Consider the following 27,356-nt stretch of genomic DNA (forward strand, 5'->3'; position numbering starts at 1 on the left):
ATACCTGGGTACTATAGCAGCAGGATGTAATTAGAAAGAGCGCAAACCCTTAAAAGGGCATTTGGCTAATGATAGTCTAGTTAATTTGGAAACTTGTAAGTCTAATGATTAATAAAAAAATATTTAACATAAATTTTTACATTTAACCTAGTTGAGACTTGAGAATCTGGTGGAAAGGGTGAAAAGGACATAAGATCAGAAATCACCACTTCTCATGAAAAAAGATCATCATTAACAATACAAGCAAGTTATGTCGACATAATTTACGTGAACTTTACATGAAAACAAATTTGTTTTGGAATCTAGCATTATAGACACCTAGCTTTTCTTCTCGTTAAAGATTTGAACACGATCATTTGCTGTTATTAATTTTTTTATATATTTTTCTTTTCAGCTATGCTTTTATCAAATAGAGCAATCAATGATATTCATTCCTTCTCCACCTTTCTCCTTCTTCTTTATATAAGAGAATATAAACAAACAAGAATCTTAGAAAAATAGGACTGTAGAAGTTAAATTGGAATTAACTTGAGAGATAATTTTGTCCAACATCCTCATTTTGTGTAAGAGAAAAAAAAAAAAACCCAGGAGTAGTGATTTGAACATACCACAGCTATTTATTTCCCCAGAATCATATCTGCAGCTCCAATTACTATCATTGGAGACTGAATTTTAATTATGAGCCAAATGACAGGGATCAAGAAGTCCTTAGTGTTTCTCTCAGTTGGATCGAGCTTTAAACGGGCTTCTTTCTGCCTCTAAGTCCCTGACCCGTGTTTTTTTGTTTTTTGTTTTTTTTTTTTTTAAAGAGCATTTACTTTAGAAATCTTGTCATTGTAAATTCGTTCCTCTGTTCCTTTGAGGTGTAAATCATTTTAAAAGCTTCTTGCTAGTTTTACAACCTAAGAATGTCTTTCTCAAAGACCTGGGAGGCATTCCTTTGAAATGTAATGTTAAAGAAGTGCCCCTATCTTCCAGATTCTATGGAAAAATAAGGGTCTAACTTCTGCAGGGAACCGCCTCCAAAACCACCTCTGCCAAAAAGGGAAGGTTTACTCTTCTTTTGGGTAAAGGCAGTAAGCAAACACCACAACTGGTCTATAACTCATCCTCCCACCTCAGCTTTTAAGAACTCCTAGCCCTTTGTTTTTGTCTCTTTGGTTACTGATACATAATAATTGTATATATTTATGGAGTTCATGTGATATTTTGATACATGCATACAATGTGTAATAATGAAATCAGAATTTTTAGGATATCTATCACCTCAAATATGCATCTTTCTGTGTGTTGGGAACATTTCAAATCTTTTCTTCTATTTTGAAATACACGATAAATTACTGTTAACTATAGTAACACTGCTGTGCTATTCAACACTAGAACTTACTTCTTCTATGGGAACGGAGGGGTTAAGAGAGGTTGGTTAATGGTCTCAGCCCTTTGTTTAAGCAGGTTTAATTCAGACTGAGTTCTGCCTCTATCCACTGTTTCAATAATAATTCAATAACCTTGAATAAGGTCATCTTGCCTAATTAACTTTGTCCGGTGTAATTTATTCTTCAATAGCAGCTACATGCATTTGGCCAAATAACATTAGAGCATAGCATGCCTAGAAAAGTAATATAACTGATGAAATATTAATGTAAATGTGTAGGTTTGGGGGGATAATATGAAAGACTGATAAATTTGGGGGATTTTTTAGATACAAGAGAAGGTGAACAAATATTAAGAATGTCTCAGCATGTCTCAGGGAAATGGAGTATCATTAAGAATACACTTAAAGTCTCTCAGTATGTTTGCTAACTTAGCTTTAGACTCTAGCATTATGGATGTTTAAGTTTTCCTCTCTTGAAGTACTTATAAATAACTATTTTGAAATGTCTACATTTATGATATAATTCACATATTTTAACTAAGAAGGTCTGATTATTACATTTACCATAATATTTGCCTTTTCCTGTTGAAAAGATTTCATACTGGGGAAATGCATATTTAATCAATTGTGGCAAAAGATATATAGTTGTAATACAGTCATAATATCTAATCACAAGGAATTTCCTGAACCAGGCACCGTCCTTAGTTGACACAAGTATAAATTTCAGTTAGACACTTAGATTTCTCAAAAATGAGTAATATGATTGAAATACAGTTATATTACACACACACACACACACACACACACACATTTAGCCTTCATGACTCATCTAGAAAAAATTTCAATATATAAAGATGATAAAGATAAAAGATGTCATAAGTTAAGCCAGGATTCTGCCATTTTGTGTAGTAATGAGGAGAAAACATCAATAATAGAACAAGAGTTAATGACTAACTCATGTTAATACCATATTTCACTTCAGTTTGTTTGCAATTTAGAATTATTCTAATTACAAGTCACTCACTGGTCCCTCCTCCCCGATACCAAGAAGGGAGGCTAAATCTCAGATAAATTATAGCAAACAATGTACTTGCCTTTCATTGTATTTACCTTTCCCCCAACCTGTTCCTAAACCTCTCCTTACCTCTGGGGAAGATACAAAAAAGAACACAGTAGTTGTATATTTCAAAAATTTCTCATTTTTAGTCATTACTTACTTGGGGAAATTTGCCTCACGAGATATTTGTTTACCAGATTCAGATAGAGCTTTTTTAAATTGAAGATGTCAGTCTTTACTAATGTAGTGGCCATATACTATGTTTTGACAGCCTAACTTTTAACAAGTACTATTATAGTTGTGAATTGTGTCACCAAATTAATTATAATTCAGTATGATTAACGTGGAAATACTGTGAATCTAGGTATCTTTAAACAAAGAGGTATTCAGGCTTCCACTACCTACATATACTGCATTTCTTTCTGCTTTATTTTAATTCCCTCACATCCAAAATTTGGATGGGTGCATAAAGGCTTGGTGATAGCCATGAAAAGTACTTGGTTTCTTATAGATGTAGCATCATTACCAGAGATAATAATGTTTACTTGAAAATTATTAATATATGTTTATTTCTGTTATATATCAACTAACAATGTTCAATTCTTTTCTAGCAAAACCACATATAAATAATCATAAAGTGATCATACTATTTTTTTTGAGACAAATAATAGAAACTGTCAGGTGTATCCGTGGAAAGCATCCTAGGGATGTTTAGAGATTCTTGGGCTTCTTAGCTCATATTGGAATAAAAACTAACAGGAAACAAGTTTATTCATGAAAAGCTGGAGGTACAGGATAGGTAGTAAAATATGGAAGAATGCTACATTTTATTCACATGATTTTCTGATATTTTAATACATGTAAGTAATTAAAACTAAATGAGTATTAACTGAGCACCTTGATGCCCAATCAATGCATTTCTGGGAAGAACTCAATTAGTTTATAAAAGGTTAAAATAGCATAAAGAAAATAGTTTTGTTGTGTTTCAAGTAAGGCTGTAATACCAACATTTTTATATTCATAGTTACAATATTATCTTAGTGGCTATTTATTCAGGTGTGTTAAAGTTTTCAAAGAAGCATTTATTGTAGTTGTAAAACTTTCCATTATAATATTGTTTTAAAAAACTATTTTGAACAAGAAAGATGAAATTTTAAAGTAAAATAATTTTTACCAAATACTTTGTTTTATAAAACATTTATATTTAAGCCCATTTGTTATTGTATATATTTAAGATATACAACATGGTGTTTTGATACACATATACATAGTGTAATCAAATTAACATTTCTATCACCTTCAACAGTTACTTTTCTGGAGTAAGATCCTCTGAAATCTGCTCTCTTAGCAAGTTTTCAGTATACAATACAACATTATTACCTATATTCCTCATGCTTTACATTAGAGCTCCAGATTTATTCATCCTACATAACTGCAAGTTTGTATCATTTTCTACTTTTTATCTATTTCCTCCCAGTCTCCACTCCTGGTAAGACACTGATAATTTCAAATAAATAATCTCATAAGAAAATTATGAACTTTTGTTCTCTGATTAATTGAAATTTTCTTTTGAAATCTAGCATTAGTTTTAAGCCCAAAATAGGGCAAAGTAAGTTTTTATACTATATTGCTGAAAACATAGCATGCTAGCCAATGTTATTATCTCATTTTAGATATGCATATATTTTTGAAAATCCACCTGAAATAGCCATGAATTTTATGTTTTACCTATACATATATTAGTGGGAGATACATAAAATGTAAACTTACGTTACGTCTGTCTTTCCCTGCATAATAAACTGTTTCAAATTGAGGTAGATATCATACAAATGAAGTCCTTTTGTGATAAATAGGGAAGAGTTTTGGCAAAACTGTGCTCAAATCATGTTGTCTAGGCTTGTGCACTGATTGCCTCAAACTAATCTTCACTGTATTAGGTGTGAAGAAATTAACTGGGACTTAAATCTTCTTAAGAAATACTGGCTTTTGGCATTACACAATTCATTAGGATTCTGTGTTTGTCCTTTGTTGTGTAATCTTAAGGTGGTTGCTGCATTGCTCTCCCTGTCACATGTAAATGATATGGAGGGTAGACTGGGGTGCCAAGACGTTACCCTGACTTATGCACTCACTTTGTGTGCAAATGGAGCTCTCTAAGATGCTCTAGCCACCGATTCCAGTGTTCCACACAGGATAGTAGGATGGTACCTAAATGTGCTATTAAAGCATGATATGTGAGCATTGTTAGCTGCTTGTAATGTCAAACGTCTGAGCTGGAGAATCTATAGGCAGAGCTGTGACCCCCTAAACAGGAAAAATGTGATAACCTAAGTACTTCATGTTCTCTGAGACTAGATACTAGATCCAGGCTGGCAGGCCAGGCTGGAGATCTAAGAGTCCAGATACACAGGGCTTGACAGACCCTCTATCTCCAGCACACTTCCCTTCCAAACTCTGGCAAGTGAACTTTCCTATTGTTCTTTCCAATGTATTTGGTTCTCTCCTATAGGAAACCCTTTGGATGAGAAATCTTAGAGAGGTAATGTGAGAGTATAATACATTTGAATATGCTGAAAAATATGTTTTTTACATTTATATCAAGATTTATGAAAGGTGCTAATTCTGACCTGTGGCACTCTCTGGGTTTGCCTAAGGAGCCCCTTTAACACGCACTGGTCTCCAATTACAATCCTCGTCAAAGAAGTTAATGGGAAGAGTACTAAATTTACCAATGAGGAATGAGACAATTTGTTTTCTGTGAATTATGTGTAGATTCCTAGACATCAGCCTTAATCCAGCACTAAGATACCTTGAGATGCCAAGAGAATGGTTTGGTTTAGATTCTCAATGGGGCCCTCTTTAGGCCTTCTTGTGACTTAATGCTTATACTCCAGTAGGACTTTGATTATCTGATTCAGCTGTATATATTATAAAAGCAAAAGCTACTTATATAAAAGTAATAAAGTAATTTAATTTAATCAGTTAATGAAAATATTTTTAAGTAACTGTGCCAGGTGGTAGCTTAACATTTTAACTTTCTAATTTAATTTACATAATTTAAAAAGAATATGAAAATTCCACATGACTTGACTTTCACTCCCATAAATTAGGCCCAGTCAATATATTCAGTGTTTAATGCCATTTAAAAACTGTGTAGCTTTATTTTCATTAATTTACCATGTATATAGAAAACAATTCCTAAATTGCTTTTATTTGAAAGCTTGCCATTTTTTTAAAAGCCTTCAGAATTATATAAAGGTTGCAAGAATCGTTCATCGAAGTTCTGTATGCCTTTACGTACATTTGCCAATTTTCATCATTTTGCCACCTTTACTATATCTTCTCTTTTTCTCTTTCTCTCTCCCTTCCTCCTGTCTCCTTCTCTCTGTCTCTCTGACATTTCTGACATTTGGCTGAACCATTTGAGAGCAAGTTACAGACATGATCAATTATCCCTTAATAATTCAACCTGTAAGAACAAGGACATTCGATCACATGTTCACAGTACAATTAACATGTTCAGAAAATTTAACATTGATATAATAATTATATCTAATACACTATCTATACTCCAATTCTTTCAATTGTCCCAGATATATATATATAGATAATATTTTTAATTGATCCAAGATAATGCTTTTATTAATTTGTGGGTCTCTTTAGCCACCTTTAGACATAAACAATTGCTCACCTTTTCTTTTTATCTCATAACACAGGCACTTTAAGGAGAATATATGGATTTTTCTTTGTTTTCACATGATTAGATTCAGATTACGCATTTTTGGCAAAAATTTAACATATATAATATCACAATTTTTTTTAGTACAACACATTGTGGGTGGCATAATGTCCATGAGTCCTAGTTGTTGTATGTTAATTTGACATATTTAATTTAGGTGGCATCTTTTATATCAGTATATTAAAAAAGCAGCCTGTTGAGATTCTCTGAGACTATGTAAGTATTCCATTCTCCATCACATTTTAACTGATGGTTTTGGCAGTCATGGACTATTCTTGGCTGAAATATAAATAAAAAATTGGTGCCGGGAGTTATTTTTAAAATCTATTGTTTTTACACCTACGTTATTTATTTATTAATACACTTACTTATAATCACTATGGGTTCATAGTCAGTGGATTATAATCCGTTCTTTTTACAATACGTTTCATGCTGAAATTGTCCCATAATTGGCTAGTGCGAACATTTTCACATTGACTTGAGTCCCTCCCCCTTTAATGGTATTTTCTTACTTTCTGGCAAATGAAGTGTTATGAGTTTACTTTGTACTTTCTCTGCCCCATCCTTTAAATCAACTATTTCTTCAAAAATTACTTGTTCCCTTAAGTGAATAATAGTTTTGAGGAGCCAGATATAATTGCTTGATGACTTAATGCCTATTGGGTTGATATTGCACTTGGATCCTTTTAACAAAGAGAACTATAATTTAGTAGGTTGGTAGGAGGGTGGGTAGATAGATATATTGATACATAGATTTTTAAAAATCATGTTTATGTTGTTATCTTCAATACTCAACTAACAACACAGATTTCATCCTTGCCTTACTAGACCCCCCATTCCATATTTGTTTTTTCATAGCATGAATACTTGCTTCTCATAATGTCATACATTTGTATTTGACATATATTTATTTATTTGCTTAATTTTACAATATGTATGGCCTTACTATACAGAAAATTATTAACACAGTGGGTTTAAATTGCTACCCTTGAAAAGTTCTGCTTGTAAGATGAGCTCTTGGCTGGCATCTGGGAACTTGGATTTCAAGAATGTTCCTACACTCCTAACTGGTAAGAATTGCTCACTGTGTCTAAACTGTTTGGGTAAGCAATATGGTATATCCTGAACACCTACTTTCCTTCTAAGAGTCTGGAATTTTTGTACATACCAGGTAGAGGCCCCCTATTTGACTCGGCCCAATAAAAACTGTGGATGATGCTTCTGTATCCGACTTCCCAGTTGAAAACATTTCACATGTTCTTGCTGGGGAAATTAAGCACATTCTGTGTGATTCCACTGGGAGAGGACCCGTGGGAAACTATCTGCTTTCCCCAGATTTGCTCGATACAACTTCTCTACTAGTTAATTTTGTCCTGTATCCTTTTGCTGTGAGTAAAACTTGTGCTAAATTCTGTGATAATTCCCCCTAGGGAATCATCAAACCAATAGTCTTGGGTACCTCTGACACGCCTGCAAACAGAACACCTCTAAGGAGAGTTTTAAAAATTATATCTTTTTTTTTTCCTTTCATTAGACTGAAAGTAGTCAGAAATACACAGTCAGAAATTACCTTTTTCTTTTTACTTTTTGTTTTGAAATAATTGCAAATTCACGAGAATAGCAAAAAAAAATAAAAAAAGGACAGAGAGCTCTATGTACCTTGTACCAAGTTTCCTACAGTGATTATATTTTACGTAACTATAACAAAATATCAAAGAAGGGATTTGGCATTGGTATAGTGTGTGCTTGTGGTTCTCTGTGAGTGTAAATTCAGGTAACCACCATGACAATCAACCTATAGAACTATTTCTTCAACACAAAGTTTCCCTTCAGGCTGCCCACTTTGCAGTCACATGTAACTCCCTTCTTATCACCACCCCCATCATCAGTAGAAACACTGATCTGTTTCCATATTTATTATTTTGTCCTTATGAGAATGCTATATAAATGGAATCACATGGAGTGTGACATTTTTGGGATTGGTTTTTATTATATAGTAATTCAGGTGAGATTAAACATGTTACCGCCTGTATCAGTAGCCTATTCCTTTTTACAAATGTAATTGCCTTGGGCAGTATGGCCATTTTGATGGTATTGATTCTTCCCATCCATGAGCATGGAATGTTTTTCCACTTGCTTGTGTCATCTCTGATTTCTCTGAGTAGTGATTCGTGGTTCTCATTGTAAAGATCTTTCACCTCCCTGGTTAGCCCTATTCCTAGGTATTTTATGCTTTGTGTGGTAGTTGTGAATGTGATTGCATTCCTGATTTGGCTCTCAGCTTGGCTGTTTTTGGTGTACAGAAATGCTAGTAATTTTTGTACATTGATTGTGTATCCTGAGACTTCACTGAAGTTTATCAGATTAAGGAGATGTTTGAGCTGTGACTATAATGTTTTCTAGATATGAAATTATGTCATATGCAAACAGGGATAGTTTGACTTAGTCACTTCCTATTTGAATACATTTGTTTCTTTCTCTTGCCTAATTGCCCTGGCCAGGACTTCAAATACTACCTTCAATGGGAGTGGTAAGAAGGGCATCCTTGTCTGGTGCTGGTTTCCAAGGGGAATATGTCCAGCCTCTGCCAATTCAGTATGATGTTGTCTGTGGGTCTGTCATAGATAGCTCTTATTATTTTGCGGAATGTTCCTTCAATACCTTGTTTATTGAGAGTTTCTAACATGAAAGGGTGTTGAATTTTATCAAAAGCCTTTTCTGCATCTATTGAGATAATCATGTGGTTGTTGTCTTTAGTTTTGTTTATGTGATGAATCATAATAATTGATTTGCGTAGGTTGAATTGAACTTGCATCCCGGGGATAAAGCCTATTTGATTATGATGGATAAGCTTTTTGATATGCTGCTAGATTTGGTTTGCTAGTATTTTGTTGAGGATTTTTGCATTGAGGTTCATCAAAGGTACTGACTTGAGGTTTTCTAATTTTTATCATGTCTCTGCCAGGTTTTGGTATCAGGATGATGCTGGTCTTACAGAATGAGTTAGGGAGGAGTCCCTCCTCCTAGATTTTAAAAAATAGCTTCAGTGAGAATGGTACCAGATCTTCCTTGTACATCTGATAGCATTTGGCTGTGAATCTGTCTGGTCCAGGGCTCTTTTTGGTTGGTAGGCTATTTATTACTGATTCCATTTTAGAGCTCATTATTGGTCTGTTCCAGGATTCAGTTTCTTCTCGGTTCAGTCTTGGGAGGGCATATGTGTCCAGGAATTTACCCATTTCTTTGAGATTTTCTATTTTGTTTGCATAGAGGTGTTCATAATATTCTCTGATGGTTATTTGTATTTTTGTGGGGTCAGCAGTAATGTCCCCTTTATTGTTTGTAATTGTGTTTATTTGGATCTTCTCTCTTTTCTTTATTTGTCTGGCTAGCAGTCTATTTTATTATTATTTTTTTCTTTTTCAAAAAACAACTCCTGAATTCATTGATCTTTTGAATGGTTTCTCATGTCTCTGTCTTCTTTAGTTCAGCTCTGATATTGGTTATTTCTTGTCTTCTGCCAGCTTTGGGGTTGATGTGCTCTTGGTTCTCCAGTTCTTCTGGTTGTAATGTTAGGTTGTTAAATTGAGCTATTTCTAAATTTTTGACCCAGCAATCCCGTTATCTAAATTATCAAATTTGTCCATAATCCCAGATGGCATTCTTAGTTCTTAAGTCTGCTCTGTCTGCAACTGACAGAGCTACTCCCACTTTATTTTGATTAGAGATAGTATGGTATATCTTTCTCCATCCTTTACTTTTCCTCTATAGAGTTCCTTAGATTTAAAGTGAGTTTCTTTTAGAAAGTATATAATTGGGTCTTATTTTTTGATGCACTCTAAAAATCTCTGTCTTTTAATTCACATATATTAATTATTGATACAGTTGGATTAATATCTACTATATTTGTTACTGGTTTCTATTTGTTGCCTTTATTCTTTGTTTCTATTTTGTTGTTCACACTTTGTCTGTTTTTTTTTTTTTTTTTTTGGTTAAACATTGTGCACTTTATATAATTCCTTTTTTTCTTATTTTTTATCTTCTTTTCACATCAATTATACTTCTAAAGTCCACTTTAGAAATAACACTGTACTGCTTCACAATTAGCATAAGTATCTTACATTCACAAAATATTCCGAATTCTTCTCATTTCTTATATCATTGCTGTCTTTCATTTCACTTGTACAAAAGCATACATAAGCTGTCAACACTTTAAATATTTTACTACAATAATTGCTTGCATAGTTTCTGAGAAGTTGGATGTAATTCTTATCTTTGCTCCTCTATAGGTATTTTTTCCCCCAGCTTTGTTCAAATTTTTTTAATCTTTGATTTTCTGAAGCTTGAATATGCTGTACTTAGGTGTAGGTTTTTTAGTATTTATGCTGCTTGGTATTCTCTGAGCTTTCTAGATCTGTGATTTAGTGTCTGACATTATTTTGGGAAAACTTTTAGTCATTATGGCTTTAAATATTTCTTCTGTTCATTTCTTTCTTCTACATGTGGTATTCTCAATATGTGTACGTTACACTATTTGTAACTCTGGAACTAGTTGTTCCAGAGTTCTTGAGTATTCTGTTCTCAGGGGTTTTTTGTTTTTTTGTTTGTTAGTTCTTAGTTTTTTTTTCTCTTAGTTTTTTTTTTTCTCTTTGCTTTTCAATTTTGGAAGTTTCTATTATTATATTCTCAAAGTCAGAGACTTTTTCCTCATCTCCTCCAGTCTACTAATGAGCCTATCAAAGGTATTCTTCATTTCTTTTACAGTGTTTCCATCTCCAGCATTTCTATTTGATACTTTCTTAGAATTTTTCCATCTACTTACATTTATCTACCTGTTCTTACATGTTGTCTCCTTTTTTCGTCAAAACCCTCAGCATATTAACTGTAAGATTTGTTTAAATTAAATGAAATTAAATTAGATTTATTTTAAGTTTCTGCTCTGATAATTCTAATATTCCTGCCAAATCTGACACTGTTCTAACACTTATTTAGCTTTCTCAAACTGTGTGGGGCTTGTTTTTGTTTTGTTTTGCCTTTCAGTATGCCTTCTAGTTTTTGCTGGAAGATAAATATGATGTACTCGGTAATTTTAAAAAAAGGCAGTAAATTGGTCTTTAGTAATGCAGTTGTAATGTGGGGACAGGAGGAAGAAAGCAATCTGTAGTCTTATTATTAGGTCTTAGTCTTTTGGTGAGTTTGTGCTCCTGGCCTATGGATTTCACCAGTGCTTCTTTATTCCCTCCCATCCCACTTAGGTGGGACAAGATAAGTAAAAGGGCTGGATTTTGGGTATTTCTCTTCCTCCGCTTAGTAGGCTAGAGGTAACTAAAGTAGGGTGTTTTACTTGCCCTGGGTGGGTTAGACTCTGGTAAAGCTCTAGCAGATTAAGGCTCTGATAAAAACAGTTTCTCCTGAGGGAAGGCCTTCTTAAGAAGAACAGAGTGCTCTAGTATATTTCAAAGGGGTTACTTCTCCCCTCTTCTGCTCAAAGCAGGAGGGGATTTTTCTCTGATATTCACTGTGATGAGCTGGTATAACTCCTGGAAATAAACCCACAAAAGCATTAGGGTTCCCTATAACTGAGTCCCCCTGGAGATTTTAACTCTCAGACTTGTCCATCCTGAGCCTCCAGCAGTTGCCCCATTACCATTTAGGTTTCCTTACTATGATAACTGGTTCCTGTGGGGACACCTGCTCTGATAAGTGGTGTTTTTTTGTGTGTGTCTGTCTACCTACCTGTTCCTTCAATTTTGGGCACAGTGGTTTGCCCCGTGATCTCACTTCTCCGAAATACCTAAAAAGCTTTATTGACTTTAAAAAAAATATTTAGCTTTTCATTTGTTGTCAGGATCATGTGGTGATTTCTAAGCTCCTTGAAGGACAGACCAAAATTAGAAGAATTTGCCCATTCTTTTTAAGTTGCTGAATAAGTTTTTACGGCAGGGATATACCACAGTTGGCTTAGCCATTTGCCTTTTAAAGGAGTTTTGGTTGTTTTCAGTTTTGGGTTATTAAAAATAAAGCTGCTATGAACATTCTTGTACAGGTTTTGTTTAGGTGTTTGTTTTGAATAAGAGCCATGTGACAGCTAGGTATATGGCATGTACATGTTTTTGTTAAATTTTAAAGAAAATGTCAAACTATTTTGAGAATGAGTATATCATTTTACACTTCCACCAGCAATGTATACAAGATCTAGGTTGTCATCCTCATCAGAATTTAATATTGTCACATTTTAAAAATATATTTTATCTACTCTAGTAGGTGTGTAGTAATATGTCATTGTAGTCTTAATTTCCATTTCCCTACTGGCTACTGGTGTTGAACATCTTTTCATATGGTCATTTACCATTCACATATCCTTTTTGTGAAATATGTGTTTATATCTTTTGGCCATTTTGTATTTGGATCTCTTTAAAGCAACAGCAGTTAAAAAAGACAAAAAGGATCACTATATAATGATAAAAGGCCTTTTCCAACAGAAAAATATCACAATCCTAAATAATATACACCTAACACTGGACCTCCCAAATTTATATTACAATTACTAATGGACCTAACAAATGAGACAGACAGCAACACAATAATAGTTGGGGACTTCAGTACTCCACTGACAGCACTAGACAGGTCATCAAGACAGAAAGTCACCAAATAAACTATGTATTTAAACTATACCCTGGAACAAATGGACTTAACAGATATTTACAGAACATTCCACCCAACAACCACAGAATATACATTCTATTCAACAGCGCATGGAACTTTATCCAAGATAGACCTTATGATGGGCCACAAAATGAGCCTCAGTAAATTCAAGAAAATTGAAATTACATCAAGCACTCTCTCAGACTACAGTGAAATGAAACTGATGGTCAACTCCAAAAGGAACCTTCAAAGCCATACAAATACATGGAAATTAAATAAGTGAAATCAAGATGGAAATTTAAAAATTATTCAAACTGAATGACTACAGTGACACAACCTATCAAAACCTGTGGGATACAGCAAAGGCAGTGCTAAGAGGAAAGTTCATAGCCATAAACACCTACATTGAAAAGTCTGAAAGAGGACAAACAGACAATCTAAGGTCACACCTAAAGGAGCTAGAGAAACAAGTACCAACCACACCCAAACCCAGCAGAAGAAAGGAAATAACCAAGATCAGAGTGGAACTAAATGAAACTGAAACAACAAAAAAACACAAAAGATAAGTGAAACAAAAGGCTGCTTCTTTGAAAAGATAAATAAAATTGATAGACCACTGGTAAGATTAACCAAGAAAAGAAGACAGAAAATCCAAATAAGCTCAATTAGAAACGAGATGGAAGATATTACAACTGACACCATAGAAATACAAAAGAAACAAGGCTACTATGAACACTTTTATGCACATAAACTAGAAAACCTAGAGGAGATGGATAAATTACTGAAAAGATACATTTTTCCTAGCTTAAATCAGGAAGAACTAGATACTCTGAACAGACCATTAACAAGCAACGAGTTTGAAATGGAAATAAAAAAATTACCAACAACAAAAAAAGTCCAGGACCAGATGGATTCACAGCAGAATTCTACCAGACATTCAAATAATTTGTACCAATCCTACTGACACTATTCCACCAGACATACAAAGAGGGAACCCTCCTCAAATTATTCTATGAATCCAGTATCAACCTAATATCAAAACCAAGAAAGGACATAACCAAAAAGAAAACTACAGACCAATATCCCTGATGAACATAGATGCTGAAATTCTTAACAAAATGCTAGCTAATGAAATCCAACAACATATCAAAAAGATAAGCTACCAGGATCAAGTGGGTTTCAAACCAGGGATGCAGGGATGATTTAACATACACAAGTCAATAATTGTGATACACCACATGAAAATTACATGATCATCTCAATAGATGCAGAAAAAGCATTTGACAAAATCCAGCATCCCTTTGTGATTAAAACCCTCAGCAAAATCGGCATACTGTTCAGTTTTGAGAGTACGTTATAATGTCTACATACAAGTCTTTTGTCAGATGTGGCTTGAAAATATATCTTCTAGGTCTATAACTCATCTTTGTATCATCTTAACAAAGTTTTACATAGAGTTAAAATTTCTGGTTTTTATGAAGTCTCATTTATCAATTTTTTTCAAGGATTAAGCTTTTGGTTTAATGTCTAAAAACTCTTTACCAAGCCCTATATCCCAAGGATTTTTCTATTTTTTTCTAAAAGATTTACAGTAGTTTTACATTTAAATCTCTTATTAATTTGGTATTAATTTTTGTATAAAGTATTGGGTTTATGTTGATGCATTTTCTTGGCTGTGTGTATCCAGTTGCTTCAGGACTATCTGTTGAAAAGGCTACCTTCCTTCACTGAATTGCACTAGTACTTTTGTTAAAAATCAGCTGGCTGGAGGTGTAGTTGTCTCGGTCTTTTACTTGGCTATCTGTTCTGTTTCATCAATCAATGTCAATTCCTTTGCCATTAACCCTTAGTCTTGAATACAGTAGCTATATAATTAAATAAAATTGGGGAATGTAATTCCTCCCATTGTGTTCTTTTCCATACTGTTTTAGCTATTCTATTTCCTTTCCTTTTTCATATAAGTTTAGGGTAAGATTGTCTGTATGTAAAATAAAAAGCTGAGGTTTTTACAGGAATTGCTGTGAAACCTTAGACCAATTAAGAATGTTTATAACCTTATTCTCAAAAAATGTATTAATTTATTCATTTAAAATATTTAATAAATGACTGTATTCTTCAAGTAAAGTTCTAAGCCCAGGGAATGCAGAAAAAGGGATAATCACAAGGCATGCTGTTTGTTATTAATTTTATATTTATTAAGCTTCTAAAATAATTATTCTACCTGGGACCTCAGTGCACACATGTAAGCAACTTTTTAATGATGAATGATTGAGATAAAGAATGTGACACCTTACATACAAAACTGGTAGAGAATCATGCTAGAATCCTACTAATTTGCACATCCCAGGTGCACCCGACCCTTACAGAAGCAAAGGTAAAATAAAAATGGAAGAATATTTGATGGAGGGAGAAAATATGTAGGAAAGAAATGTAAATAATTTATTCAAAATGCATATGTTTTAATCTGGGAATGATTAAAATGCACAAAATAAATTTGAGTATTAATAAATAATAAAATGTAAGTAATGCTTGTGTTATGGGAGAAATTAACAGAGTGATGTGATAGTTAATAACAAGCAGACGACAATACTTTAGGTAGACTGTCAGAAACCTGAAAGTTGAAAAGGAAGAAGTAGAATGTGTTACAGAACAGAACTTGTTATCTGAGCATTTAAAAATCCTGTGTTCCAGGAACATAATTTGAAAAGAAAAGAGGTATATTGGGTGAAATTTGGGAGGTAAGAAAGAGCCAGATGAAATTCTCAGATTAATTATATGTATTAGTAGTGATAACAAACATTATTTCAAGTCATTGAATGTAGTAGATATTATCCTACTGCATCTTTAAATATGTTGATTGCTTTGAGGATGAGTTGTATATTTCTTATAAATGTTAGTATTAAAAGAAACTACCTTTTCTTATTTTGTAGAGACATAATAATTCATTCTAAACAATGGATCTTAAGTTTTTTCTCACCTAATTCAAATCTACATTGGAGATTTGTATTTATTTCTCTTTTTAATCTACTAATATATAAACTTTCATGTAGTTGCAAATACACACATTTATAATTGTGTCCCTCTCTCCATATATAGAGAGACACAGAGACATATTCTTAGACTTCCCTGAAATGCAATACTCTTTACTGGGCTACATTTTTCTAAATTCACATTCCTAGATAGCTGTTTTGACCTTTCTATGGAGTGATGTCTTTATATTCTTCCTCTGCTACTTTTATGTTTCTTAAATGTCACAATATCAATTGTTTTTAAGATCTTATTCTCTCTTATATTAATATTGCTTGATATTTCAAAGGCTTTCATTGTTATAAAATCTTCCTGTATTACAAAACTATCAATGTTGGATTTTTATTTTTCCTTACTGGATTATGTTGGAAGCAAATCTCTTAGTTTAATGCATTTCTTTATTCTCTTTTGCACTATATATATGTATGGCTCTGTATAAATGATAAATAATAACTCTCAAGCCAAACTACTCAACTTCCTTAATGACTATTTGGACCTCCCTCAAGAGGATACATAATATCTTTCCTTGATAGTGGTGGGAGTAAAAGGTAAAAGAAAATTAACCTTAATACTATTTTAAGATTGTATTGATGAGCATCTAGAGATAATAGGTTTACTAAAAAAGAATTTCTAGAAAAACCTGATTAAGGCTTTAAAAGGAAATATTTCACAAATATATTTTAATTATTGTACTGTGCAATACATGTATATTGTACCATTTTTCTAAAATCAGATTGAGTATGTCATTTACAACTTCCTTTTAAAGGGGAAAGACCAAGTTTAACAAGATAGGTGATATCATCTTGTCTTTTGCTATCTTTTGAGTAATTTGAACCTTAATAGACCTCTGACGCACAACTATAGCCTAATAAATGGCGTAAGATGTAAAGCCTAAGAGAGTAGAAGATGTCACATGAAATTTGAATTTGAATCCTTTAGGATTCTCGAAAAAAAAGTTTTACAGAAGATAACACAGGATCATGCTCAAAGTAATTTGTAACAATTAGCAGAAATCTGTGTTTTTTTTTAATATGATGAGAACCTCACCTAATCTCTCACATGTTCTATGAAAAGTCCAACTTCCAGCAATAATATTAACATCTAAAAGACAAGTAAATACACACAAGTTATACTAATGGAAAATTTCTAGTTTAATATTGTACTATATTTAAGACATAACCAGTGAGGAAAAATTGAATGACGGGTACATCTCCGTACTATTTTTGAAATTCTCTGTGTTTTGTAATTACTTCAAAATCAAAGTCAGAAGAGAAAAATATATTCTACTTTTCATTAAGTATACTGAGTTTATTATTCAAGAACATCAATTCCTGCGTATCTTTATGACATTTGTTATCTAACTTGTCTATAAAACTATTACAATTTCTACTTTAGTTAAGTTTTTTTTTAAAAACTAAATCTTGGGGAACTTTAAAGTATATTATTTACTCATACATAACAAAGATATAGGTAATTATCTTTCTTACAGGAAAAAAACTAAAACCTTAATTGTCTTAAAAGCATTTAAATGTCTCTCTCATAATAATCTTACTAATGGACTATTATGCAATTTAGTATGGATCCCATAAACTACAAAATTTATAAGGCACCTCTATCAGTCTTCTCTGTCTTTGCTCCTTATGGTTCTAACAGAAAGATACTATTGAACAGATTTATTAAGTGCTAACATATTGCATCTTTATATTTTGCCATTATTAATAATTTATTTTAGAATCTTTCCAAAAACTAAAATTTTGTGTAAACTTCAGATAACCTCCAATATATAACTATATAACACACATGCATATATGTGCACACACACACACACACATATTCAATTTATTCCTCTAACAACTTTAGACTAATTCACAATGCAAGAGATCTGTATATGTAACACTATATCCAAACAAACGCATTCCTTCATTTAATTCCTAGTTTCCAAATGTGATTAGTGATGACAATCAGTGATATCATATGAATCTCTTTAAAGAAAACGTGGGACTTTGTAAATCCAAACATGCTTTATTAGATAATAATTTCAAGTGAAGCATGATAATTATAGTGTACATTCAATTACAAAAATGCATATTTCTAAATAAAATAATCAATTTATATAATTTAAACTTTACTATCTTCCTAGGTATAATAGTAGCCAAAAAGTTGTTACGTAATATTTATGGAAAATAAAGATATAGAATGAAGCATTTCTATGAACTTTAATTCTTTTGGGACTGGATTGGTAATAATAATAAAAAATAATAGCCAACATTTTAAACATTTTTTAAATGTCAAGAACACTAGCAAATATTTAACTTGCAAGAACTCATGTTGTTCTTTCCTTATTCCCCTAAAGCAGATATTATTGAAGTTATTTTTTACAAATGGAGATATTATTGACATGGGAGAGGAAATATCCTATTTTTTGTTTATGTTTAGCTACAATAAATAATTGATACCAGATATTGCATGTCAATATTTGTGATCAAATATTGTATATCGAAATACTGCTTTGTTACAAAATAAAAGTTTTTATTCATGTAAAAAACAGGAAATCGAACACTAAGTACAGAATTTCAAGAGCTTAGAAATGGCAAAAGGTTGTCTATCAATCAGCTACATGTATATGTAGAGAGACCCAATCTTAAATACTTTTCCTAAATATTATAGATGAGTGATTTTAAGTAAATATGTCAATCCTGAATTATTATTTTTTACCAAATGATTATTCTACCTCTCTTCCATCCTTACAAAATTACTCTGTAACCAGAATTTTTTTAAAACACCATGCAGAGTTTCTTACCAAATAAGTAAGTTAATTAATTAAAACAAAACACCCTATTCACCATCGTGTTAAATGTACAAAGTAGATCTGAGTTTCAAATTTTACATGACAGAAAAAAGTCACCATTTTTGTGCCTAAACAAGTCAAATGCATTAATTAAAATTGAAACATATATTTTATTCAATCATTCGGACTCTCAAATTTTCAATTTCTCACTAGTGCCATTCACTTGTCTAAGTGCTGGGGATATATCAACAAACAAATAAGACCAAAATTGTGTGCCCCCATGTAGCCTGCATTCTTCTGGAGCAAGGCAGACAGGACAAATAATAAAATTGAAAAGTATATTAGCAGGTGCTAACTTAGACGGAGAAAAGCCAAAGCAGATCAAGGTAAGAAGAACTATGAGTGCAGGGGAAATTCATTGAAATATTTAATGTTTGGTCAGAGTCAATCACATCAAAAGGGTGCATTTGAGAAAATACAGAAGGATATGGACAAGTTAGCCAAACAAATATCTAAGGGAACAGCACTGCAGGAAGAGAGAACAGATACGGCAAACGTCTAAATGAGGAAGTGTGCTGTGTTCGTTTGAGATAGAGCAAGGAGGCTGGTGTGCCAGAGCAGGGAGCACAAAGCTTAATACAGATGTGATAGCAAATTAAAGGTAAACCAGATTATGTAGGGTCTTACAAGGCATTTTAAGGACATTTACATTTAAGTATAAAATAAATGGGGAGTCACTTCAGGATTGTGAATAGAAGGGTGGCAAGATACATTTAGATTTAACAGGATTAATCCAGCTGCTCTGTTGAGACTAGACTGGGTGTAGAGTGGGGTGCGGGGTTGGGGTAGAGTGGACAAGAGAGACTCATTTGAATATGCTTGCATTAATCCAGTTGAGAGATGTTGGTATCTAAGACCAATGGAGGGAATAAGATGTGGTCAGAAAGCTGATATATTTTGAAGGCAAGGTAACAGGATTTTTTGATAGATTGGAAGTGTGAGGTGACAGAATAGTCAGTATGATTCTGTGGTTTGGGAGAGACAGGTGGCAAAAGTATGTGAAGGAGGAGCAAGTGAACTGTGTCAAATGCTGAAGGTTAAGATTAGAAAATAGCATGAGAACAGCTAGTTGCAAGTAGTCATATGTTGCTTAATCTTAACATTCATTCTTTTAAGTGTTTTTTTTTTTTTTTTTTTGACGGAGTCTCGCTCTGTCGTCCAGGCTGGAGTGCAGTGGTGCGATCTCAGCTCACTGCAGCCTCTGTCTCCTGGGTTCTGTGTGCCCAGCCTCTTTTAAGCTTTTAAGTTATTTTAATTAATTATTTTAAGTTTTCTATTTTGAAAAAAATCAGGCTTTAAGCATGAGTACTGATTTTAGAGAATATTTCGTCCAACATTGTGGTATTTTTAGCACAATTTAAAAAATATTTTTAATGGCATGATGATGCACAAACAAATTTTTATTTGGATTTTTCTTCAAAATCCAAATAAAAGCTATTTATTTTGGAACATGAATAATGGTATCTAGAATCAGTTATTTTCATGAGATATAGAAGGTATAAATGATAATGTTATTGCAACAAGACACCTACTTGAATTAGATAATTTACAATATTTGTTTTTATATAAAATAAGTGTATTACATTTTACTTTTATCATATACAGAACTTTTTATATTAAATATCATAGTTATAATACAATATCTCTCTTCTCAGATTAATACAGTAGGACCTATCCCCACAAAAAATATACAAAATTGGAACCAAATTGTGTTGAAAAATACTCCTTCTATTAAAATATCCTTTCTATTAAACTTTTAATAAAGGTCAACTGGATAATGAGGCAAATATAATTATAGTGGAGCCACTAAACTAATAATATTTCAATTCCAAAAGTAATAATTAGAGGAAAATTTAATGTAAGGCTTATTATTAGAAAGAATTCTTATTTTGGGAACTGTAATACACACATTTAAAAAAAGACTTAAAAACATCAAATGACTGACAGAGTAATTACGAAAAATGTAGTTAGATTTGAATGCATACATTATGCTGCAGGTGTGAATTTCAGAGCGTACTGGGATTATTAAAATGACATTCCTTTTTGAAGTTAGTAAAGAAAGGCTCTTGAACTTGACAAAAATGTTTGTCAACATATAAAAAATAGTACAGAGCTGTAAAGTACAATTACATTCTCCTCTTTTCAAGCAAGTATGGTTTCAATATGTTTGTCAAGTACTATACTTTGCTCGTCTCACCCACGGTATCAATCACTTCAAGGTTTACTTTGAAGTTATATTCAGATGATAGCAGAGACTGGTTAATATCCATGCAACAATAGTAACCTCTTTCCTTTTAGCCATACAAACCATGATGATTTTAGAGGAGAGAAAAAATGGTAGAGTATTCTAACCAACCAATTTGCATATTCTCCTTGCAAAAGTAGAACATTTTCAATATACAATATTTTATGCTTATTGTGTTAATCTTGAATTTCAGGGGAAGAAATGCTTGTTTTAATGCTATACCTCAGAGAGCCTGTGCTCAGTCTTTTCCTTGTTAAAGCTTTTGCTAGTATTTGTTGGTGATGTTGCTGTTGTCCCTTTGTTCTGGGCCTTTTGTTAATCCACAGGACTTTTGTCCTCCACAGAATAACCTTTTAATTGATACCAATATCTTAGATTAAGCTCATTTCATAGGTCAAAGTAACATTTGTAATCCATTCTTAGGCATTATATTTCATATGCATTTTTAAACACATAATTGGATTTTAAAATTGAGTTAAATTGAAGAGACAGGCACTAGGAAATTCTTATTCTATCTCTATATCTGCATGCCTCAATGACAAAAATTACTAAACACTTTTTCTCTCCGTGAATTGCTTCTTAACTGCCTCTATAAAGTGATAGAGAGACAGAGACAGACATAATGGAAGCCACAATCTCATGTCTCATCTGGGACCTTGCACAACCAGTCACTCTCTTTCTCTTTCATCTTCAATCTCTCACTTCTTTATCGACCACTTATGAAAATATGTAATATAAATTACTTCTAACCCTCATTTTTTCTTCAAAACATCACTGTTTTCTTTCATTTCTTCACTAATAAAGCATATGGCATGGGTGTATATGGTCTCACTTCTCATTACCTCCTTAAACCAACCCATTTATTTGGTTTAAGGAGGTAATGAAACATCTGAAAATGTTTCTTAATAAATTACTAATAACTATTTGCTTGATGTATCTAACATGCCTGAATTAAATTTAAATTTAATGTTATATAAATAGTGAAGTGAGAATGTGATCTACACTTTGACCTGATAATGGCTGCTCTGTGAAAAATGATCTATTAGGGAAAGGAGCAAGACTAGGAGCAAGGCAACTAATGAGGAGACTTGTAGTATTACAGGAGTGAGTGATAGTATCTTTCACTTGGGTATTAGGATATTATTATTTTTTAAAAATTAGATTTATGTTGTATTTTGAAAAATGTATAGACATGATTTACTAATAGACTGGATGAAGAGTATGAGACAAAAGGGAAAATCAAGGTTTTTTTTTTCAGAAATGTATGTGTAAATGTTAAACTGACTAGATATAAGTGAAATGCAGGAGTAAGGCAGTAAAAATGTAGACACGGAGTCACTAAACAAAAATATATTAAGAAATGAGACTGAACTTACCTAAGGGGAGGTTGCAATAGGTTTGGCAAGATGTACGTCATCACTATTTTTGATAAGCCCTGTTTTAGGAGAGAAAATAGGATAAAGCTCAATTAGAGTTGATTAAGAAGATTATGAGAAGAGAGAAGTTGGTGACAGCAAGATATATAGGTAGAAATAAGTGTATGATAGATAAGGTTTTTGTTCTATTGAAGGAAGGAAGGACATAAAAGTGAATAAATACTTTTAAATTGTGGTAAATGCTATTAAGAAAAGAAAACATAGTGGAAAATAACTGAAGAAAATTAGCATTTTGTGATGGGAGCATTGATGAAGAAGTGACATTTCAGCTGGCAACGGATTGGGCAAGAAAGTGGAGACCTGGTCCATATGTTTCTTTGGTTACTCTGCCAGCTATTTTCTGTGTATTCCTGGGAATAATTTTAAGCATGCCCAAGATTCTGGGGATCAGCATTTTGTTTGGGAAGGATCAACATACTTGCTTAAATCAGCCTTGCCTAAATTTAAGAAGAAAATCTTTAATTTTTTTTCTCACATAACTACTAGAATAACATCGATTTGGAAAATCATTATGGTAATTTATTTTCCTCTTAAATATTAAAGCATTTAAAAGAAAAATAGCATCACCACTAAAGACAGAAATTATTTTAATTTTATAGGAAGAAAGATCAAGGAGCATCTCCAGTTCAAATGATAAAAATAGGGTTTGATATTTGCAAGGACACAGCATATTATTAAGTTAGGATACTACTTGCTCCTACAAAGGTAAAAAAAAAATGCTTTATTTAAAAACACACACAATAAGTGGGAGCTAAAGAATGGCTATTCATAGACAAAGAGGTGGCAACAATAGACACTGGGGACTTCTAAAAGGGGGATGGAGGGAGGCAAATAGGATTGAAAAACTAAGAATTTGGTACTATACTCAGCATCCGGGTGATGGGATCAATCATACTCAAATCTTGGCATTATGCAATATACCCAGATGAAAAACCTGGGCTTATACCCCCAGAATCTAAACTAAAATGTAAAATTATGTATTTTAAAATAACATACGAAAATCTGATCATTTTAGTCAATTCCTATGGCAGCCTTAATCTGACTGTTTCTCAGGTATATGGTAACTGTTACAGGGTTGACAAATTTTAGGCTATTTTAATTGGAAAGGAAGAACATAAGTACAATGATGCATCCATACACTTGAGATTTTAGCATATTCACTGGTCCTTGATTATAAAAATCCTGAAAATGAATTCCTTTGTAGTTAGTACAATTACAATAAATTTCAATTAACATATGCTTGTGTGAATAAAACTGTATATCTAATTAAATGAATATCTCTTTATGACTATCATCCAACTATCTATCTATCTATCTATCTATCTATCTATCCATCCATCCATCTATCTATCTATCATCTACCAAGAAAGGGGCTGAATGATGGATTCACTTTCAATGAGAAATAAAAGCTCAGGAGCATAAGCTGTTTTGTGAACAGACTTTTGTATAAAGAGTGACCTCTTGAAGGAGGTCCCATTGTTCTGGCACTTTGAAAAATGGAATTTACAATAATAGAAGATATTTAGCATAGCAATTCGGCCTGAAAATAACCAAATAAATTGTGCAATTAAAAACAAAAATTCCAAGCTAGAGGAGGGCAGTGCTGCCTAGTGAGTTTCATCTAGACTATACTCAGTCAGGGAGAAATGGTACATCCTAAAAGGAAATTGATGTTATTCAGAATTGGAGACAGACACCGAGCAACCAAATGAAAAAAAAAAGTGCACATTTCATTTGAGAATTAAAATCATTCTACAGTGGCACAAATTCTTAAAAGACGACTTCACAGCATTATTAATGTCTGTAATTAGTTTTAGTACTCAGAAAAAACATATATATTTCTTCTCTTATGTTAAGGCCAATTTGGGTTCAATGAAACATATTTAGATTACACAGAAAGACATAGTTCTGGAGAATTAATAAGTGCAATTGATTATGGTGTGGGAAGACTATGAATTGATTTCTCTGGTGCTAAAGTAGACTAACTTGTCACCTGGCAGGAGTAGTTTGATGTAGCATAGGGATATAGAACAAAGAACCTCTTAAAAGTCTTAAAGTTCTATATTCAAAGATTCTCCCAAAATATATGATTATTTTTGTAGTATGTGTTTTAAAAGAATCAATTCTGAAATAATTTGTAACAAAAGAATTTGATGCTTTATCTAAGCTCTTTGATATAAGTAAAGGTAAGAATCCCCCAGATTGTCATTTATAATACATGTTATTAAAAATGTTACTTTTTGTCAAATGTTTTCTCAATGGTCCATAAAATTAAGATATAAGTCATAATTGAAATGTCCATTAAAAAGCTTTGCTTTAGAGTAATATTATCACTTATATGTCAGCATTAAGCAAAACAAAACGAAACACACTCACAAATATATTTACTACTTTATAAAGCATTGCTTATCATTTGATCATTTTTTATTTTGTTTTGTGATTCTGAAAGATTTAGGAAACTATATGTCAATCCCAGGGCAATTTAGTTTCAAAAAGACTTTGGCATCTACTAAAACATTTTAAGTCTAAACATTGATTATGGATATTTTATCAGCAAGTAAAATTAATAAGCATGTTATAAAAATAAAAATAGCAAATCTGATTCTTTTCTGTGAATCAAAATTGTGTGTGTGTGTGTGTGTGTGTGAGTGTGTGTGTGTTTATCTTCATATAACAGGAGTGGGTTTTACATTCACTACTTCTGAATTGGCGGAATAGTCTTATCTCCATTAGTTTATTTCCAATCTCACCCAAAAGTAGGTGCTGGAGGATTTCACTTCTTAACTCCCTATTCCAGTGTTCTTACCCAACATATTAGAAATCATAAGGAGGCTTTTAAGATATACTGATGTTTTGTCCCCACTCCCGACCCATTACAACAAAATCCTTCTAGCAAAGGGGTGTTGAGGTCTGAGTATTGGTGTTTTTATCTTTTTACCATGTGTGTCTGATGTGCATCCAGGGTTGAGACATATGTGACCGTCCAGGGCAATTATGGCCTTTGGACACATGCACTGCCATCACGTGGCAGCTTGTTAGAAACACTGAATCTCAGACTGCACTCCAGGCCTATGAAATAAGAATTTGCATTTCTACAATATCTTCCCGTAATGCATGCACAATAAGGCTTGAGGAGCACTCAATGAGATATGAGCATCTGGGGCATTGCAAAGAAGGGTTTATCGATTTGGTATAATAAGGCAGAGCTCAACAAGTGTATCAATTCTATTAAATAAGCATGGAGGCATGTAAGGTCCTGGGTAAGATGAAGCTCTCCACATATGACAAGGAGAGGGAGTGCAATTTTCTCTCCATTCTGTAGACTATGTGCACTGTGGACATGAGGGCCTCTCATGCAGTCTCATCAGGATATTAAAAATAGTTTTTGCTCTGGCAGAGACTGACCAACTGCTGGAGGTCAACTTTGCACACCTTTATGTGCACATCCTGGGAGATGAGCACCGCTCAGCCCTCCTGAAGTAAGCCCGTTTCTCACTGACAGCGCTAGAAACCCCAGTGGAGACTACCTGGTCCGGATCATCTGAATCTTTCCCCAATCTCTTACCCCTTTATTTTTGTCTAAATAAATTATGTCTTCCTTCCTCTCAATTTCAGCCCTTTTAATCTTAAAATCTATTTTTTCCCACAAAATGCGCACCTGTTCTAAACAAAAGCTGTGGTTTTCAAACCATTGTCTCTATTATGATTTTGTAATATTGCTTAGAATCTCAAAAGCAGAATATAGTTTTTTTCCTCTGTGTAATCTTTCAGTAAAGTTTTACATTTTCTCTGATTAAATAGATGCCTTAAACTTAATGAAAGCAGGGAGGCACTGAAAATAACTTTGAGAGAACTGGTAGAGCCACATATTACAAATGAATGGATATCTCCAGGTAGTTTTAATTTGAATATTAGTTTTTAGACCTTCTATTTCTTTTCAATTGATGCTTTGATGTAAAGAATCTTTATATTTCTTTTTAACTCTAAGAGACAACAATGTTGTTGATATTATTGACTCAGTGCCTATTTTTCTTTCCCTGTGAGGGAAAGTAAAAACAATATAATTTGGATCAAATTGTTAATAGTATACATGAATGTTACTTACAGGACTTCATGCACTCACCACTAAAAAAGGATGCATTTTCCTAGCATGTTATCCATGATCTCCAAGAGGTGCTTCCTAATGGGCTGATTTCATGATCAGAATTTATTACAGTACATTAGAATGATGTCTTTTTCCTCAGTAGGATGGCAGCTAACTGGTATAGGAAAACCATAATACATAATATAGCATATGATTATCTAGTAGTATCTTCTCAAGGTACATATGGCTAAAATCAAATGAGATTTAATTTTACTCTAGCTCAGAGCACACAGATATTCAGGAACAGCATCATTTCATAATATCATTTGAAATGAAAACCAGTGTTAAGCTGTGTCTACATAAAGAACTATTATTAAAAAATGGCATTTTCTGTCTAAACAAAGGCATATGTTTATATAAAATTTGATTTATATTAACAAAGTAAACAGAATAAGTCATGGATCATTTAAGGAACAATAACACTGAGTATACTAGTCAAGGATTATATGGTATTACCAAACACCTCCCAGCCTTCAAATCTGCTGATTTGGGTTGGTTAGAATTTTTCTACATCCAGATACTTAGAGATCCAAGTTTCCTTGATCTTGAGATGCCACCACAGCATCTCAATGCATGATGTTCAACTGTGCCAAGGTAGAGGAATCAGATTCATCATGCAAGCTTATAAAGGAGAGAGAAAAATGAATGCCTCTGTTTTCTTATATGAAGGCAGTAAGGAGAATTCAGTGCTTCTATAAAAAAATCAGAGTATAAGTCAAAAGTTTACATATATGTAAACTTGTATAAATCACAAGTTTACGTATATGTAAACTTGTATAAATCACAAGTTTACGTATATGTAAACTTGTATAAATCACAATGTATAAATCACAAGTTTAC

At 32.9% G+C, this 27,356-nt stretch overlaps 2 long non-coding RNA genes across 6 annotated transcripts in view, besides 1 other annotated feature; one reads left to right on the forward strand and one right to left on the reverse strand.

The window, feature by feature from the left end:
* LOC102724340 (uncharacterized) overlaps positions 1–27,356 on the forward strand; it is a 246,221-nt gene that overhangs the window by 147,753 nt on the left and 71,112 nt on the right. The gene's annotated exons all lie outside the window — the stretch shown is intronic.
* LOC105373776 (uncharacterized) overlaps positions 1–27,356 on the reverse strand; it is a 116,629-nt gene that overhangs the window by 59,263 nt on the left and 30,010 nt on the right. Inside the window, exons 1-5 of one of the 5 annotated variants that reach the window (XR_923648.3) lie at positions 26,496–26,627; positions 22,313–22,371; positions 16,891–16,944; positions 7,340–7,434; positions 5,815–5,901 (exon numbers count right to left, since the gene is read on the reverse strand). This is a non-coding gene — a long non-coding RNA (uncharacterized LOC105373776). Of the gene's footprint in view, positions 1–5,814; positions 5,902–7,339; positions 7,435–16,890; positions 16,945–22,312; positions 22,372–26,495; positions 26,628–27,356 lie in introns of those variants that run through there. The other 4 variants (XR_001739817.2, XR_923647.3, XR_923649.3 and 1 more) reach the window with 4 other exon arrangements.
* Positions 415–1,050: an enhancer, noted in NCBI's record as "OCT4-NANOG hESC enhancer chr2:185203164-185203799 (GRCh37/hg19 assembly coordinates)". NCBI's record gives its function as "activates a minimal SCP1, AML or CMV promoter by ChIP-STARR-seq in naive H9 embryonic stem cells {active_cell/tissue: H9 hESC(naive)}" and the evidence as "EXISTENCE:reporter gene assay evidence [ECO:0000049][PMID:30033119]".

Source organism: Homo sapiens, chromosome 2, assembly GCF_000001405.40.
Source record: "Homo sapiens chromosome 2, GRCh38.p14 Primary Assembly".
NCBI classification, from domain to species: Eukaryota; Metazoa; Chordata; class Mammalia; order Primates; family Hominidae; genus Homo; species Homo sapiens.